The sequence below is a fragment of the Homo sapiens genome, chromosome 17 (assembly GCF_000001405.40).
Source record: "Homo sapiens chromosome 17, GRCh38.p14 Primary Assembly".
In the NCBI taxonomy this organism is placed as follows: domain Eukaryota; kingdom Metazoa; phylum Chordata; class Mammalia; order Primates; family Hominidae; genus Homo; species Homo sapiens.
Genome location: NC_000017.11, coordinates 36,268,750 through 36,284,536, shown reverse-complemented (window position 1 = coordinate 36,284,536; position 15,787 = coordinate 36,268,750). Strand labels below are relative to the sequence as shown.

The 15,787-nt window shown below is 42.1% G+C and overlaps 1 protein-coding gene across 2 annotated transcripts in view; it reads right to left on the bottom strand.

Annotated features, from left to right (window-relative positions):
• The window catches only part of LOC101060212 (puromycin-sensitive aminopeptidase-like protein), a 41,091-nt gene extending 30,651 nt beyond the window's left edge, over positions 1 to 10,440 (bottom strand). Inside the window, exon 1 of one of the 2 annotated variants that reach the window (XM_047437249.1) lies at positions 10,254 to 10,440. In XM_047437249.1, the coding sequence (XP_047293205.1) occupies positions 10,254 to 10,311 (58 nt within the window). In that variant the 5' untranslated portion in view covers positions 10,312 to 10,440. The remainder of the gene's footprint in view (positions 1 to 10,253) is intronic. The other variant, XM_047437250.1, reaches the window with a different exon arrangement.
• Positions 10,441 to 15,787: the final 5,347 nt, after the last annotated feature.

Here is a 15,787-nt window from a genome sequence, read left to right as displayed (position 1 = left end):
GAGCCCTGACTACTACCTAACTTCCCTTCTAATTCTATTAACTTGAAACTATAGCAGAGCTTCCCTAACTGTGGCAGATCCAAACATGTATTACAGGTTTATCAAGATAATAATTCCCTTGGCCCTTGGACCAGCCTGGTAGGCCTAGAGCAATGAAAGATCTCTGATACCCTCCAGTTGTGAGCCTCCTCTTCCTTATGTACCAGGAAAACATCAGTTTCTACTAATGCCTTGAAAAAAAGTAAGGAAGCATTGATTTGGAGAACAACTAACTCTTCCAGCTTCACACTTAAGAACAGCATACATGGCCGGGCGCGGCGGCTTGTGCCTGTAATCCCAGCACTGCGGGAGGCTGAGGCAGGCGGATCACCTGTGGTCGGAGGTTCGAGACCAGCCTGACCAACATGGATAAACTCCATCTCTACTAAAAATACAAAATTAGCCGGCTGTGGTGGTGCATGCCTGTAATCCCAGCTACTCAGGAGGCTGAGGCAGGAGAATCACTTGAATCCGGGAGGCTGAGGTTACGGCGAGCCGAAATCATGCCATTGCACTCCAGCCTGGGCAATAAGAGCGAAACTCCATCTCAAAAAAAAAAAAAAAAGAACAGCATACACTACAATGTTACTAACATTATGCAATCAGTGTTTTCTCTACATTTAATGCAAAAACTACATAATTTACAGCAGTTTTTTATGCTCTCCATTTTCTTAATATTTAAAATACTGTAAAGAATCTTTACAATTAGTAAGTATCTTGATGGTAGTCCTCAAAGGGAAGTAAAATACAAGTTAAAGCTGGTAACAAAATAATCTCAAATACGAAATAATTTTGTTACCCATAAAGTTACTAGGATAGAGCACATGAAGAAATGCAGACCTGACAAGTCCCCCTTATCTGCAGTTTCACTTTCCACAGTTTCAATTGCCTAGAGTCAACTACAGTCTGAAAATATTAAATGGAAAATTCCAGAAACAAACAATTCATAAGTTTTAAACTGTACTGTTCTGAATAGTGTGATGAAATCTTGTGCCCTCCCATTCCATTCTGCCCAGAACATGAATCATCCCTTTCTCCGACCTATCCATGCTGTATATATATGCCACCCAGCCCATTAGTCACATAGTAGCCATCTCAGTTATCAGATTGACTGTCAATGTATCACAAGGCTTGTGTTTAAGTAACCTTTATTGTACTTAATAATGGCCTCAAAGCACAAGAGTAGTGATGCTAGCAGTTTGGAAATGTCAAAGAAGAAGAGTGAGTATAATACAATAAGATACTATAAGAGAGGCTGGGCACAGTGGCTCATGCCTGTAATCCTGGCACTTTGGGAGGCTGAGGCAGGAGGATCGCTTGAAGCCAGGAGTTCAAGACCAACTTCAGCAATAAAGCCAGACCTGACTCACAAAAAATTTTTACAAATTTGCTGGGTGTGTTGGTGCATACCTATAGTCCTAGCTAACTGGGAGGCTGAAGCAGGAGGATCACTTGAGCCCAGCAGTTTGAGGCTGCAGTGAGATATGATGGCACCACTGCACTCCAACCTGGGCAACAGAGACTCTGCCTCTAAAAATAAATAAATGAAATAATTTTTTTTAAAAAGAAGATATTGGCTGGGCGCGGTGTCTCATGCCTGTAATCCCAACACTTTACGAGGCTGAGGGGGGAAGATCACCTGAGGTCAGGAGTTTGAGACCAGGCTGACCAACATGGAGAAACCCTGTCCCTACTAAAAATACAAAATTAGCCAGGCGTGGTGGCGCATGCCTGTAATCCCAGCTACTTGGGAGGCTGAGGCAGGAGACTTGCTTAAACCCGGGAGGCAGTGGTTGCAGTGAGCCGAGATCACACCATCGCACTCCAGCCTGGGCAACAAGAGTGAAACTGCATCTCAAAAAAAAAAAAAGATATTGTGGCTCACACCTGTAATCCCAGCACTTTGGGAGGCCGAGGCGGGCAGATCACGAGGTCAGAAGATGGAGACCATTCTGGCTAACACGGTGAAACCCCGTCTCTACTAAAAACACAAAAAATTAGCCGGGTGTGGTGGCATGCGCCTGTAGTCCCAGCTACTCAGGAGGCTGAGGCAGGAGAATCGCTTGAACCTGGGAGGCAGAGATTGCAGTGAGCTGAGATCGCACCATTGCACTCCAGCCTGGGCGACAGAGCAAAGTCTCAAAAAAAAGAAAAGAGAGAGAGATGCACACAACATTCATGTAACTTTTATTACAGTATATTGTTATAATGGTTCTATTTTTTATTAGCTTTTGTTAATTTCTTACTATTTCTAATGTAAAAATTAAACTTTATCATAGTACATATGTATAGGGAAAAACATAGCATATATAAGTTTTGCTACTATCTGTGGTTTCAGGCGTACCATTGGGGGTCTTAGAACACATCTGCCATAGATAAGGAGGAACTACTGTATGACAGACTTACTCCATTTATCTAGATTTTCTTCGTTTCATTCAATGTATATTTATTAAATCCCTACTATATGTCAGATACCAGGGAAAACCACAAATGAAAAAGAATGAATCATAATTACTGGATCTTTTTTTTTTTTTTTTTTGAGTAGAAGTCTCTTGTCCCCCAGGCTGGAGTGCAATGGCGTGATCTTGGCTCACTGCAACCTCTGCCTCCCAGGTTCAAGCAATTCTCCCACCTCAGCCTCCCGAGTAGCTAGGATTACAGGCGCCTACCACCACACCCAGCTAATTTTTGTACTTTTTTTTTTAGTAGAGACGAGGTTTCACCATGTTGGCCAGGCTGGTCTTGAACTCCTGACCCTAGGTGAGCCGCCCGCCTCGGCCTCCCAAAGTGCTGGGATTACAGCCATGAGCTACCATGCCCGGCCCCTCAAGGATCTTAAGATTCCATTGAAAAGTAGTACAGACATGACACAAACAAATAATTGCAATATGGTGTGGTTACATTAATGACAAGCAATAGAGTGGCAAGTACATGGACCCTAGATCCAAACCGCCTGGGTTTGAATCCTGGCTCTAACATTTATCAGTTTTATTACCTAAAGTAGATACCCTCTCTGTGCCTACGGTTGTTCTCTATATGAACAGGTAATGCACTTAGTGCCTGGTATAGAGTAAACACTAAACTCATCATTATTTTTATAATTATCACTATTAAACATTATATTATGAAAAATGTTTCACTTGGTTAGGCACCTAACCTGAACTGGAGGTTAAAAAGAAGATAAAACGTTCCCTCTATAGTCAGCAATAAGCCAACTAAATTCCTAAAACAGCAGTCACTAAAGCAATCCATATCACCTTAAGGCTATTTAAATAACGTTTTAAAACTTACCAAGTATAACTAAGACAAAATTTAAAACTATTCTACGCTCATATACTTTGTATATAGCCATATGGAAACCTACACAGGTTCTTTATCAGACAGCCCCTCAATATTATTCAAAACCAACAAATGTAAAAATGAAAGAATGCAAATACACTGCAAACTTCATGTTCTTTATCTCTGATTTGCACTAAAAAGGAATAAAGGGGCTGGCTAACTATCACTTGCTCCTTCTAATGCTGACATTTATTTGGCTCCAGTTTGAACTAATGATACTTAAGGGTTGTTTATTTGAGAATGGATCTATCCTGCATAGAAACCAGAATATACTTCACAGATAAGCATAGAAATCCAAACAAGGGCCAGGCACAGTGGCTCATATCTGTAATCCCAGCACTTTGGGAAGCTGAGGTAGGAGGACTGCTTGAGTCTTGGAGTCTGAGACCAGCCTGGGGAACATTGCAAAACCCCATCTCTACAAAAATTAAAAAATTAGCCAGGTGTGGTGGCACATGCCTGCCATCCCAGCTCTCCGGGAGGCTGTGGTGGGAGAGTAACTTGAGCCCAGGAGGCTGCAGTAAGCCATGACTGTGCCACTGCATTCCAGCCTGGATGACAGAGAAAGACCTGTCTCAAAAAAAAAAAAAAAAAAAAGAAATCCCAACAAACAAGATCAGAAATTAGAAACTTAAGACTTTTGTCTTAATGTTAACACTATATAAACTCTTCCTCTTTGAAAAATATGCCCTCTGTTTGTCACTATTGTCTTGGCAATTCGTTATACTTTCTCACAAGCAAAGAAACCTATTTCAGACTTGCGTTCACACTTATCAAACTATCACTTAAACAGAGTATTTAAGGTCTGGTGCAGTGGTTCACACCTGTAATCCCAGCACTTTGGGAGGCCAAGGTGGGCGTCAACAGTTTGAGAGCAGCCTGGCCAAAATGGGGAAACCCCATCTCTACAAAAATTTAAAAATTAGCCAGGTTTGGTGGCACACACCTGTAATCCCAGCGACTTGGGAGGCTGAGGCACAAGAATCGCTTCAACCCAGGAGACGGAGGCTGTAGTGAGCCGAGATAGTGCCACTGCACTCCAGCCTGGGCAATAAGAGTGAGACTCTATCTCAAATAATAATAATAATATTTAATAAAAACTCTTTGAATGACACAAATTACCACTTAGGCAAAAAGAACCTTGGTATTTACAGGGGTAAAAAGTTCAAATAAATAATAAACTTCATTTATTATTATATATAAGCCAAGGGAATTTATTATATGCAAGGGAATCACTGTTCAGACAATGAGCTGAGGGGCCAGAATTTGTGAGACAGAAGGGGTCCTTTTCACACAATATTTACTTGAAGTTTCACAATAATCAAAGGTATCTGCTTTTAGCCCAGTTATTCATGTATACACATCAACAAGATTTAAATTAACCAAAATGTTAAATGTTTATTAAGCTGCCACCATATAATGTAGGTTTTGGAACTAGTATTTAAATGGAAGAGTATATCTTCAGAGTAAAGTTCCATTGAGAAATAGAAAAGTCTGTAAAACCAGGTCTCGTCTTATAACAAGAAACTGATACTGACTTCTGTAACAAAGCTAAATAGTCTCTTGATGTGTAGTTGGCACAATTCCAGAAATCTAAACTACTAGCAAATTTGCTTATATCTGGTATAACTGGGCCGGGCGTGGTGGCTCATGCCTGTAATCCCAGCACTTTGGGAGGCCGAGGTAGGTGGATCACCTGAGGTCTCGAGTTCGAGACCAGGCTGGCCAACATGGTGAAACCCTGTCTCTACTAAAAATACAAAAATTAGCTGGGCGTGGTGGTGCACGCCTGTGATCCCAGCTACTCGGGAGGCTGAGGCAGGAGAATTGCTTGAACCTGGGAGGCAGAGGTTGCAGTGAGCAAGATCATGCCATTGCACTCCAGCCTGGGCAACAAGAGTGAAACTCTGTCTCAAAAAAAAAAAACAAAAAAACATATATATATATATATCTGGTATAACTGTTACTATATCTAAAGAAAGGGATGAGAAACAAACCTTTAATTTCTACTTGAAATGATTTTTCATTTTTGCAAAGAGAAAAGGGTACATAACTAATATCCAAACAGAGTTAATAAAAGCCTATTAAGGATTATTTTAAAACAAGTTATTTAAAAAAAAAAAAAAAAGTTCTACTAGTTGCAGTGAGCCGATACTGCACCACTGTACTCCAGCCTGGGCAATACAGCAAGACTCCATCTCAAAAAAAAAAAAAAAAAAAAAAACAGACACATGCCCATAGGTCTTTTAGGATGACTGCACATATCACAAAAAAATGGCCTTTTTCTTCAAATAAAAACTTACACAAAGAAGCAACAATTGGCCAGGCACGGTGGCTCACACCTTTAATCCCAGCACTTTGGGAGGCCGAGGCGGGCGGATCACAAGGTCAGGAGATCGAGACCATCCTGGCTAATACGGTAAAATCCCGTCTCTACTAAAAATACAAAAATTAGCTGGGCGTGGCGGCGTGCGCCTGTAGCCCCAGCTGCTGGGGAGGCTGAGGCAGGAGAATGGCGTGAACCCGGGAGGCAGAGCTTGCAGTGAGCCGAGACTGCGCCACTGCACTCCAGCCTGGGCGACAGAGTGAAGACTCCATCTCAAAAAGAAAAAAAAAAAAAATTAAAAGAAGCAACAATTTCATGCCTTAAAAGTAATTTTCTGATTTTACTTTTATCTTTTTTATTACATATATATATATACACACACACACACACACACACACACATACATACATGTGGAAGCCCAAATCTATCCCTGTTCCCAATCCAAACTATTTTTTTTTTTTTTGAGACAGAGTCTTGCTCTGTCGCCCAGGCTGGCGTGCAGTGGCACAATCTCCGCTCACTGCAACTTCCACCTCCCGGGTTCAGGCGATTCTCCTGCCTTCAGCATCCCAAGTAGCTGGAATTACAGGTGCCTGCCACCACGCCCAGCTAATTTTTGTGTTTTTAGTAGAGACGGTGTTTCACCATGTTGGCCAGGCTGTTCTCAAACTCCTGACCACAGGTGATCCGCCCACCTAGCCCTCCCAAAATGCTAGGATTATAGGTGTGAGCCACCACACCTGGCTGCCCCCAATTCAAACTTTAACAACTCATACAACTTCCCATTCTCTTAAACTCTAAAATTACATGGGCTTACACATGACTTCAGGTTTTTTCCTGTTGCTGTGGTAGAAAAGTGTTGAGAAATGTACCTTAGCTAGTTCTGAAGGAAAATATTTTTTTTTTGAGACAGAGTCTCTGTCACCCAGGCTGGCGTGCAGTGGCACGATCCTGGCTCACTGCAACCTCTGCCTCCTGGGTTCAAGCAATTCTCTGCCTCAGCCTCCTGAGTAGCTGGGATTACAGGCACCCGCCACCACACCCAGCTAATTTTTTTATTTTAAGTAGAGATGGGGTTTCACCATCTTCGCCAGGCTGGTCTTGAACTTCTGACGTCATGATCCACCCACCACAGCCTCCCAAAGTACTGGGATTACAGGCGTGAGCCACTGCACCCAGCACTGAATATATATTATGTATCTAAAATAATTTAATGTTTTATCAGAATCTCTCTTCAAATCTTCTTTTCCATTAAGTTTTCATTTCTCTCCTGACTCTCTTAGTAAGAACACTAACTGGGCTTCCGTGAGATACAGATCATTATGAGCTTAGCAACATTCGGTTACACATATTCAAAACTTTTCAGTCAGGTCGGGCGCGGTGGCTCACGCCTGTAATCCCAACACTTTGGGAGGCTGAGGCGGGTGGATCACGAGGCCAGGAGTTCAAGACCAGCCTAACAAACATGGTGAAACCCCATCTCTACTAAAAATACAAAAATTAGCCGGGTGTGGTGGCACACGCCTGTAATCCCAGCTACTCAGGAGGCTGAGGCAGAAGAATTGCTTGAACCCCAGAGGTGGAGGTTGCAGCAAGCTGAGATCGTTGGGCGACAGAGCTAGACTCCATCTCAAAAAAAAAAAAAAAGAACTTTTCAGTCACCTGAATTCTATCCCGACATTTTTAGTACAGGAAGATAAAAAACAAACTTGAGCTGAAACCATGCCAGCTGGAAGGTACACATTTATATTACTAGATCTACCTATCTACATACCACTTTAAAACCACACATCGAATTTAAACATTCTCTACCTGCAACAAAGAAAGCCTTGTTGCTTTGATATACCTGGCTAAAGTACTTCTATTTTTCTCCACAGTTAAAGAAATTAAATAATCACTCTTTCATTTACCAGACAATTTTTTAAAAGTGGCACTCATTCAAGTCCATTTGAAGAATCTGTTCTTCCAGCAGTTTGATCTAATTTACAATCAATTGAACTTAAGTACTTCTTCGGAACAGTATGTTCAACTGCTACTACTTTGACTTTCTATAGACAAAATAGTTTAAGAAAAAATCATAAATGTTATGAGGCCTTAAAATGAAACTTCTTTTCAGTATAATGTAAAGGAGAGAGGAAATCAAAATATAAAATGTAAGTTAAAAGATCAAATGTGTAAATTATTTTATTTTATTTATTTTTTTATTTTTTTTTTTGAGACGGAGTCTCGCTCTGTCGCCCAGGCTGGAGTGCGGTGGCGCGATCTCGGCTCACTGCAAGCTCCGCCTCCCGGGTTCACGCCATTCTCCTGCCTCAACCTCCCGAGTAGCTGGGACCACAGGCGCCCGCCACCACGCCAGGCTAATTTTTTGTATTTTTAGTAGAGACAGGGTTTCGCCGAGTTAGCCAGGATGGTCTCTATCTCCTGACCTTGTGATCCGCCCACCTGGGCCTCCCAAAGTGCTGGGATTACAGGCGTGAGCCACTGCGCCCGGCCTTAAATTATTTTTTATTAAAGAAGTCTCAGAGTAACCAATAACCATTTTGACAAGGAATGTCTAGGTGAAATCAAAAGTAAAAAGGCAACCAGGTGTGGTGGCTCTTGCCTGTAATCCCAGCAACCTGCGAGGCCAAAGAGGTCGGATCCCTTGAGCCCAGGAGTTCAAGACCAGCCTGGGCAATATAGGAAGACCCCCCCCATATCTATAAAAAAATACAAATACGAATATTAGCCAGGCATGGTGGTACACGCCTGTAATATCAGCTACTTGGGAGGGTGAGGTGGGAGGATGGCTTGAGACCAGGAGACAGAGGTTGTGGTAGTTGAGATCATGCCACTGCCCCCCAGCCTGGGTGACAGAGCGAGACTCTCTCAAAAAAAAAAAAAGTAAAAAGCAATCCAGCTCCAATACTGATGTACTTGTAAGAGTTTATGCCAAACTTGGTATCTATTTAAAAATCAGCTCATACGGGAATAAGATTTCCAGTCAAAATGGACTACTTTCATACTAAAATTATAAGGTCTAAAACAGTTCTCGGCCGGGCGCGGTGGCTCACGCCTGTAATCCCAGCACTTTGGGAGGCCGAAGCGGGTGGATCACGAGGTCAGGAGATCAAGACCATCCTGGCTAACACGGTGAAACCCCGTCTCTACTAAAAATACAAAAAAATTAGCCAGGCGTGGTGGCGGGAGCCTGTAGTCCCAGCTACTCCGGAGGGTGACGCAGGAGAATGGCGTGAACCCGGGAGGCGGAGCTTGCAGTGAGCCGAGATCGCGCCACTGCACTCCAGGCTGGGGGACAGAGCGAGACCCCGTCTCAAAAAAAAATAAAAAATAAAATAAAATAAAACAGTTCTCATTTTATAGACACTAATCGAGTTCCACATTCTATACCATGTTTCTTTTTAGCATGTTCTTCCCCTGTAACTAACTCCATTATTTAGCTTCTAATCTTCATATTGTCTCATAAAGCAAATGTTTTTCTCTGAATTAGGAGTATGACTTATCTCAATTTTAAACTATAGTACAAAAAGAAAAAAAAACTTTAAGAAAAACATAAAAACGAAGCCTCTTTGAGGAGCCTTTCATGTTCAAAGTACTTAATTTTTCAAATAACTCATCAGCTTTATTATGCGTATTATATTCATTTTATACTTATGAAAATATGATTTCCCTAGTACCACAAAATAAGTTAATCTTGGAAGTGGAATTTTAATTGTGACATTTGCCCGGGTGTGGTGGCTCACATCTGTAATCCCAGCACTTTGGGAGGCATGCAGATCACCTGAGATCAGGAGTTCAAGACCAGCCTGGCCAACATAGCAAAACCCTGTCTCTACTAAAAATACAAAAATTAGCTAGGTATGATGGTGGACACCTGTAATCTCAGCCACTCAGGAGGCTGAGGCAGGGAGAACTGCTTGAACTCACGAGGCAGAGATAGCAGTGAGCTTAGATGATGCCACTGCACTCCAGCCTGGGCATCAGAGCAAGACTCTGTCTCAAAAAAAATAAAAATAAAAATAAATTTAAAAGTAAAATAAATTGTGACATTTATTTCACAATACTGTTAGGTTATACTATTCAATATTTCCCATAAACATTTTACCCTTTTTCTTTTTCTTTTTTTGAGTCAGGGTCTCACTCTGTCGCACAGGCTGGAGTGCAGCGGCGCAGTCATGGCTCACTGCAGCCTCGGCCACCTGGGCTCAATAGATCCTCCCACCTCAGCCTCCCAAATAGCTGGGACTACAGGCACGCACCACTATGCCTAGCTAATATTTTTGTTTGTTTGTTTGTTTTTGTTTCGCCATGTGGCCCAGGCTGGTCTCAAACTCATGGGCTCAGGGATCTGCTCGCCTCAGCCTCCCAAAGTGCTGGGATTATAGGCGTGAGCCACTTCACCCAGCTGAATTTACCCATTTCTAAAGTAACAAACACTGAAGTCTTAACCTGAAAATGTCTCTCTCTCTCTCTCTCACACACACACACACACACACCCCACATATGCACATGCAGACAGCAAATTAAAATGGAAAACAGCTCTTACCTTCATCTCCTTCTGGTGCATATGAAGCTGTAATAATATCAATATCAGCACAATTCATCACAATCTGATTAGTCGCCTGCCTCACCTAAGGGGAAAAGGAAAATCAACAGTGTCAGAAATAGCCTAGATTAATAGTATATACAACTTGGCCAGGTGTGTTGGCACACACCTGTAATCCCAGCACTTTGGGAGGCTAAGCAAAGAGGATCGCTTGAGCCCAGGAGTTTGAGACCAGCCTGGAAAACATGGCGAAACCCCATCTCTACAAAAAATACAAAAATTGGCCAGGAGTTGTGATGTGTGCCTATAGTCCCAGCTACTCGGGAGGTTGAAGTGGGAGGACTGCTTGAGCCCAGGAGGTTGAGGCTGCAATAAACTGTGATTGTGCAGCTGCACTCCATCCTGGGCAACTGAGCAAGACTCTGTGTCTCTCAAATAATAATAATAATGATGTTCGTAAGACTTGAACTAATATCACAGTCAATTTTTTAAAATCCAGACTTCGCTAAAACCTAGACTGAGAATTTATGCATCAATGGTACAAATAAATGAAGTTTTAATAATCCAAAGCAACTCATATTTTCCAAATTATATTAAAAACAATAATGGATGTTTAAGTATTTCACATCACTTACATCTAACCAATGAGCCAAATAAAATAATGTTTTCTACTTAAACTTTGATTTTAAACTATTAAAGGGCTGGGCACAGTGGCTCATGCCTGTAATCCCAACACTTTGGGAGGCTGAGGCAGGAGGATTACTTGAGGTCAAAAATTCAAGACCAGCTTGGGCAACACAGTGAGACAAAAAAAAATTTTAAATTAGGAGGGTGTGATGGTACCCACCTATAGTCCTAACTACAGGAGAGGCTGAAGGAGGAGGATCCCTTAAGCCCAGGAGGTCAAGCAAGGCTGCAGTGAGCTATGATTACATCACTGACCTCCGGCCTGAACAACAGAGTGAGACTCTGTCTCAAAAAATAAAAATAGGCTGGGGGCATCGGCTCACACCTGTAATCTTGGCACCTTGGGAGGCCGAGGCAGGCGGATCACTTGAGGTCAGGAGTTTGAGATCAGCCTGGCCAACATGGTGTAACCCCATCTCTACTAAAAATTAGCCAGGTCTGGTGGCACACACCTGTAATCCCAGCTACTCACGATGCAGGGGCAGGAGAATCACTTGAACCCAGGAGGTGAGCTTGCAATGGGCCGAGATCGCACCATTGCACTGCAGCCTGGGCGACAGAGTGAGCCTACGTCTCAAAAAAAAAAAAAAGAATACAAAAATCAGCCAGGCAAGGTGGCATAGGCCTGTAATTCCAGCTACTCAGGGGGCTGAGGCACGACAATTGCTTAAACCCGGGAGGCAGAGATTGCAGTGGGCTGAAATCCTGCCACTACACTCCAGCCTGGTAACAGAGTGATACTCTATCTCAAAATAAATAAATAAATACGTTTAATTTCATAAAAATCTTAATTAGGAAACATTTCTTACAACATATTGCAATAATTATATATTTTAACCTGCACATCAAACTCACCATGAGGCCTTCTGTGAGGATAGAGGAAGAAGGCTGATACTATAAATTATGTCAAAACTTTATACAATAACTCTTACCACCGAGTGTGGTGGCTCACACCTGTAATCCTAGCACTTTTGGAGGGTCAGGCAGGCAGATCACTTGAGGCCAGGAATTCAAGACCAGCCTGGCTGACATAGAGAGTAGAGAGACCCCATCTCCACTAAAAATACAAAAATTAAGGCCGGGCACGGTGGCTCACGCCTGTAATCCCAGCACTTTGGGAGGCCGAGGCAGGCGGATCATGAGGTCAGGAGATCGAGACCATCCTGGCTAACATGGTGAAACCCCGTCTCTGCTAAAAATACAAAAAATTAGCCGGGCATGGTGGCAGGTGCCTGTAGTCCCAGCTACTCGGGAGGCTGAGGCAGGAGAATGATGTGAACCTGGGAGACGGAGCTTGCAGTGAGCGGAGATTGTGCCACCACGCTCCAGCCTGAGCAACAGAGCAAGACTCTGTCTCAAAAATAAATAAATAAATAAATAAACAAACAAACTAGCATCTTGGTCCATGTTTTCCTGTGCACACATGAGAGAATTTTTCCATGGAAAGGAACCTAATAGTGGACTTTCTGGATTGTTGGACATAAATCTTCAACTTTACCAAGAACTGCCAAATTATCCTCTAGAGTGGTGTCAACTGACATTCCCATGAGCAAAGAATGAAGAAATCCCACTTTCAGCATGTTCTGAAAAACTTTAGTATTTTTGACAATCTAATGGGTATTAAATGATAGTCCTGGCCAGGCACAGTGGCTCACGCCTGTAATCCCAGCACTTTGGGAGGCTGAGGTGGGTGGATCACTTGAGGTCAGGAGTTCAACACCAGCCTGACCAACATGGTGAAACCCCATTTCTACTAAAAAAAAAAAAAAAAAAAAAAAAAAAATTAGCCAGGCCTGTGGTGCGTGCCTGTAATCCCAGCTACTTGGAAGGCTGAAGCAGGAGAATCACTTGAACCCAGGTAGTGGAGGTTGCAGTGAGCTAGATTGAGCCATTGCACTCCAGCCTGGGCAACAAGAGCAAAACTTTGTCTCAAAAATTAAAAAAAAAAATTTTTGTACTGATAGTCCATTGGTTTAATCAGAATTTCCCTGATTACTAATAACATTGGTTACTATGCATCTTTTCTCGTGTGTGTGTGTGTGTGTGTGTGCACGCGCCATTAAGTTTTTCCACTGTGAACTGCTTGTTTAACACTCTTGTGCATTTTTCTTTTTTTTTTTTTTTTTTGAGATGGAGTCTCGCTCTCTCACCCAGGCTGGAGTGCAATGATGCGATCTTGGCTCACTGCAACCTCCATCTCCTAGGTTCAAGTGATTCTCCTGCCTCAGCCTCCTGAGTAGCTGGGATTACAGGTGTGCAACACCACACCCATCTAATTTTTGTATTTTTAGTAGAGATGGGGTTTCACCTTGTTGGTCAGGCTGGTCTCAAACTCCTGACCTCGTGATTCGCCCGTCTCAGCCTCCCAAAGTGCTGAGATTACAGACGTCAGCCACCACGCCTGGCCTCTTGTGCATTTTTCAATTTAGTCATAACCTTGCTTAAAACAAAACTTGTTTTGTTTTAAACAAAACTTCAAATTCATTTCCAGACATTTGAATGTTCTAAATCTAAAATAACAAAAACACAGATGCCCTAAATCACAAAGAAATGCTTCCTGAGGCAGGTAAGTGTAGCAAGCCATGTGGAAGCTGTGCACAACCCCTTAAAAGAAGGAGGTGGTAGCCATTTCTTGGAGCCAAAGAATTATCGCTATGGTGACTGGCAGGTTTAGTGCTGACAGATCTTCCAATTTTTTTTTTTTTTTTTTGAGACGGAGTTTTGCTCTTGTTGCCCAGGCTGGAGTGCAATGGCGTGATCTCGGCTCACCGCAACCTCCGCCTCCCAGGTTCAAGCGATTTTCCTGCCTCAGCCTCCCTAGTAGCTGGGATTACAGGCATGTGCCACCACGCCCGGTAAATTTTGTATTTCTAGTACAGACGGGGTTTCTCCATGTTGGTCAGGCTGGTCTCGAACTCCCGACCTCAGGTGATCTGACCGCCTCGGCCTCCCAAAGTGCTGGGATTACAGGCATGAGCCACCGCACCTGGCCTGATCTTCCAATTTTTTTTTTAAAAGCTACAAATTCAGATTTCATGTGCAGTCTCTCTATTTTTTATTAATGGTAACTAATTCAAGTTTTCAGAAACACTGTATAGACCAAACAAAATCTGTGTGCAGATCAACAATGCTCTTAGACAACTGAACATACCACAAAACTAGGTAAGAACATCAGAGTAGTACGATATCTGCATGAAAGACCTGTATACGGGTAATCATTTATTAATAACCAATACATATTTAAACATGATTAGCTGGCAACTAAAATTACCTGCCTAAATGAGAGACAGTAAATTGCAAAGTCTATAATGAGCTATTCAAAATCTGTAACACATAAAGTGAAACTACTTTGGCTTACAAAAAAAAATGCTTCTCATAAGTCTTCATGTTTCAAAACAAAGACGTCATTTAATGAATGGCTTATCTTTTAAGCAGCAATATTCCTTCACACTATTTCACCAAAACATACCTAAATAGCACTAAAACCTTTGTGTCCAACTGGCGATTTATAGCACTAAAGTTGAACAAAAAAACAAAAAGAATTCTTTGCCTATTCAGAAGTTGACTTAAAAATTCAGAAACATGGCTGGGCACGGCAGCTCATGCCTGTAATCCCAGAACTTCGGGAGGCCAAGGTGGGTGGATCACGAGGTCAGGGGTTCGAGACCAGCCTGGCTAACATGGTGAAACCCCATCTCTACTAAAAATACAAAGATTAGCTGGGCGTGGTGGCAGGCACCTGTAATCCCAGCTACTCGGGAGGCTGAGGCAGGAGAATCGCTTGAACCCAGGAGGTGGAGGTTGCAGTGAGCCGAAATCGCGCCATTGCACTCCAACCTGGGCGACAAAAGCAAGACTCCATCTTAAAAAAAAAAAAAATCAGAAACACAAAGAAATGAAGCACTTACTGGGGTATGCTCCAATGGGTAAAATGAATAAAAACCTTTCTGAGTTTGAAGTTTATGCCAGCAAAATAATAACTGTGGTTTAGTTACTGGTCTTAATCATTACCTAGGCAACCACACTTTCATCCATCAACATCTACAGTGAATTTCACAGTAGCCAAGCAGTTAATCCACCAATGTCAAGATACCTGTACAACATTATACATGCCAAATCACACAGCACATTACTACTGCAACCATTTGAGAGAAAGTATTTGTGCATTTTGGAAAGGCACCATGCACAACATCCAATTTCAAGTACCTTCCAACTCCTCCTGTGTTTAGGGGAAACTCATCTATTTATACTAATGAATTAAGCTGTTTCTTGAATTGCTACTAATTTTTTTTTTCCAGGATACTACCATTTCTGGAAGGGTGGGAGGGAGGAACCAAAGGAACAAAGGTACTTATCTTAAAAATAGAAATCCATTCACATTTTAAAAATTGGTCAGCATCTTGTCTTATATTAGAGATGCACTTATTTAAAAAGTTGACCAATAATGGGATAATCTATGTAAAGTCTCTGTTTTAGCACTTAGTGCCTCATATGTAGTCATCACTTAATAGATGTTAAGACATACATATACACACACACAGGTTAAATTGTGCTCTCATATCATCTAACAGCATTCACCTAACAGTTTATAAAGCTTCTGATCAGAATGATATGAAGTTTAAAAACTATGTATTGTATTATATGGCACTTTGGATATCAGCATATGTGTACTACCCCAAGAAGGTAATTTAAAATATCTGTCTGGACATAAGTGTATGTGCTGACTACAACGCAGTATAACACTGCTCTTTGTGATGCTGCTCTTCCAAACAGTAGTGCTGACCTGATGGTGTAGTACATGATTTCTCACCTTTGACACCTTCATATTAGTAAATATTAGCTGTGTG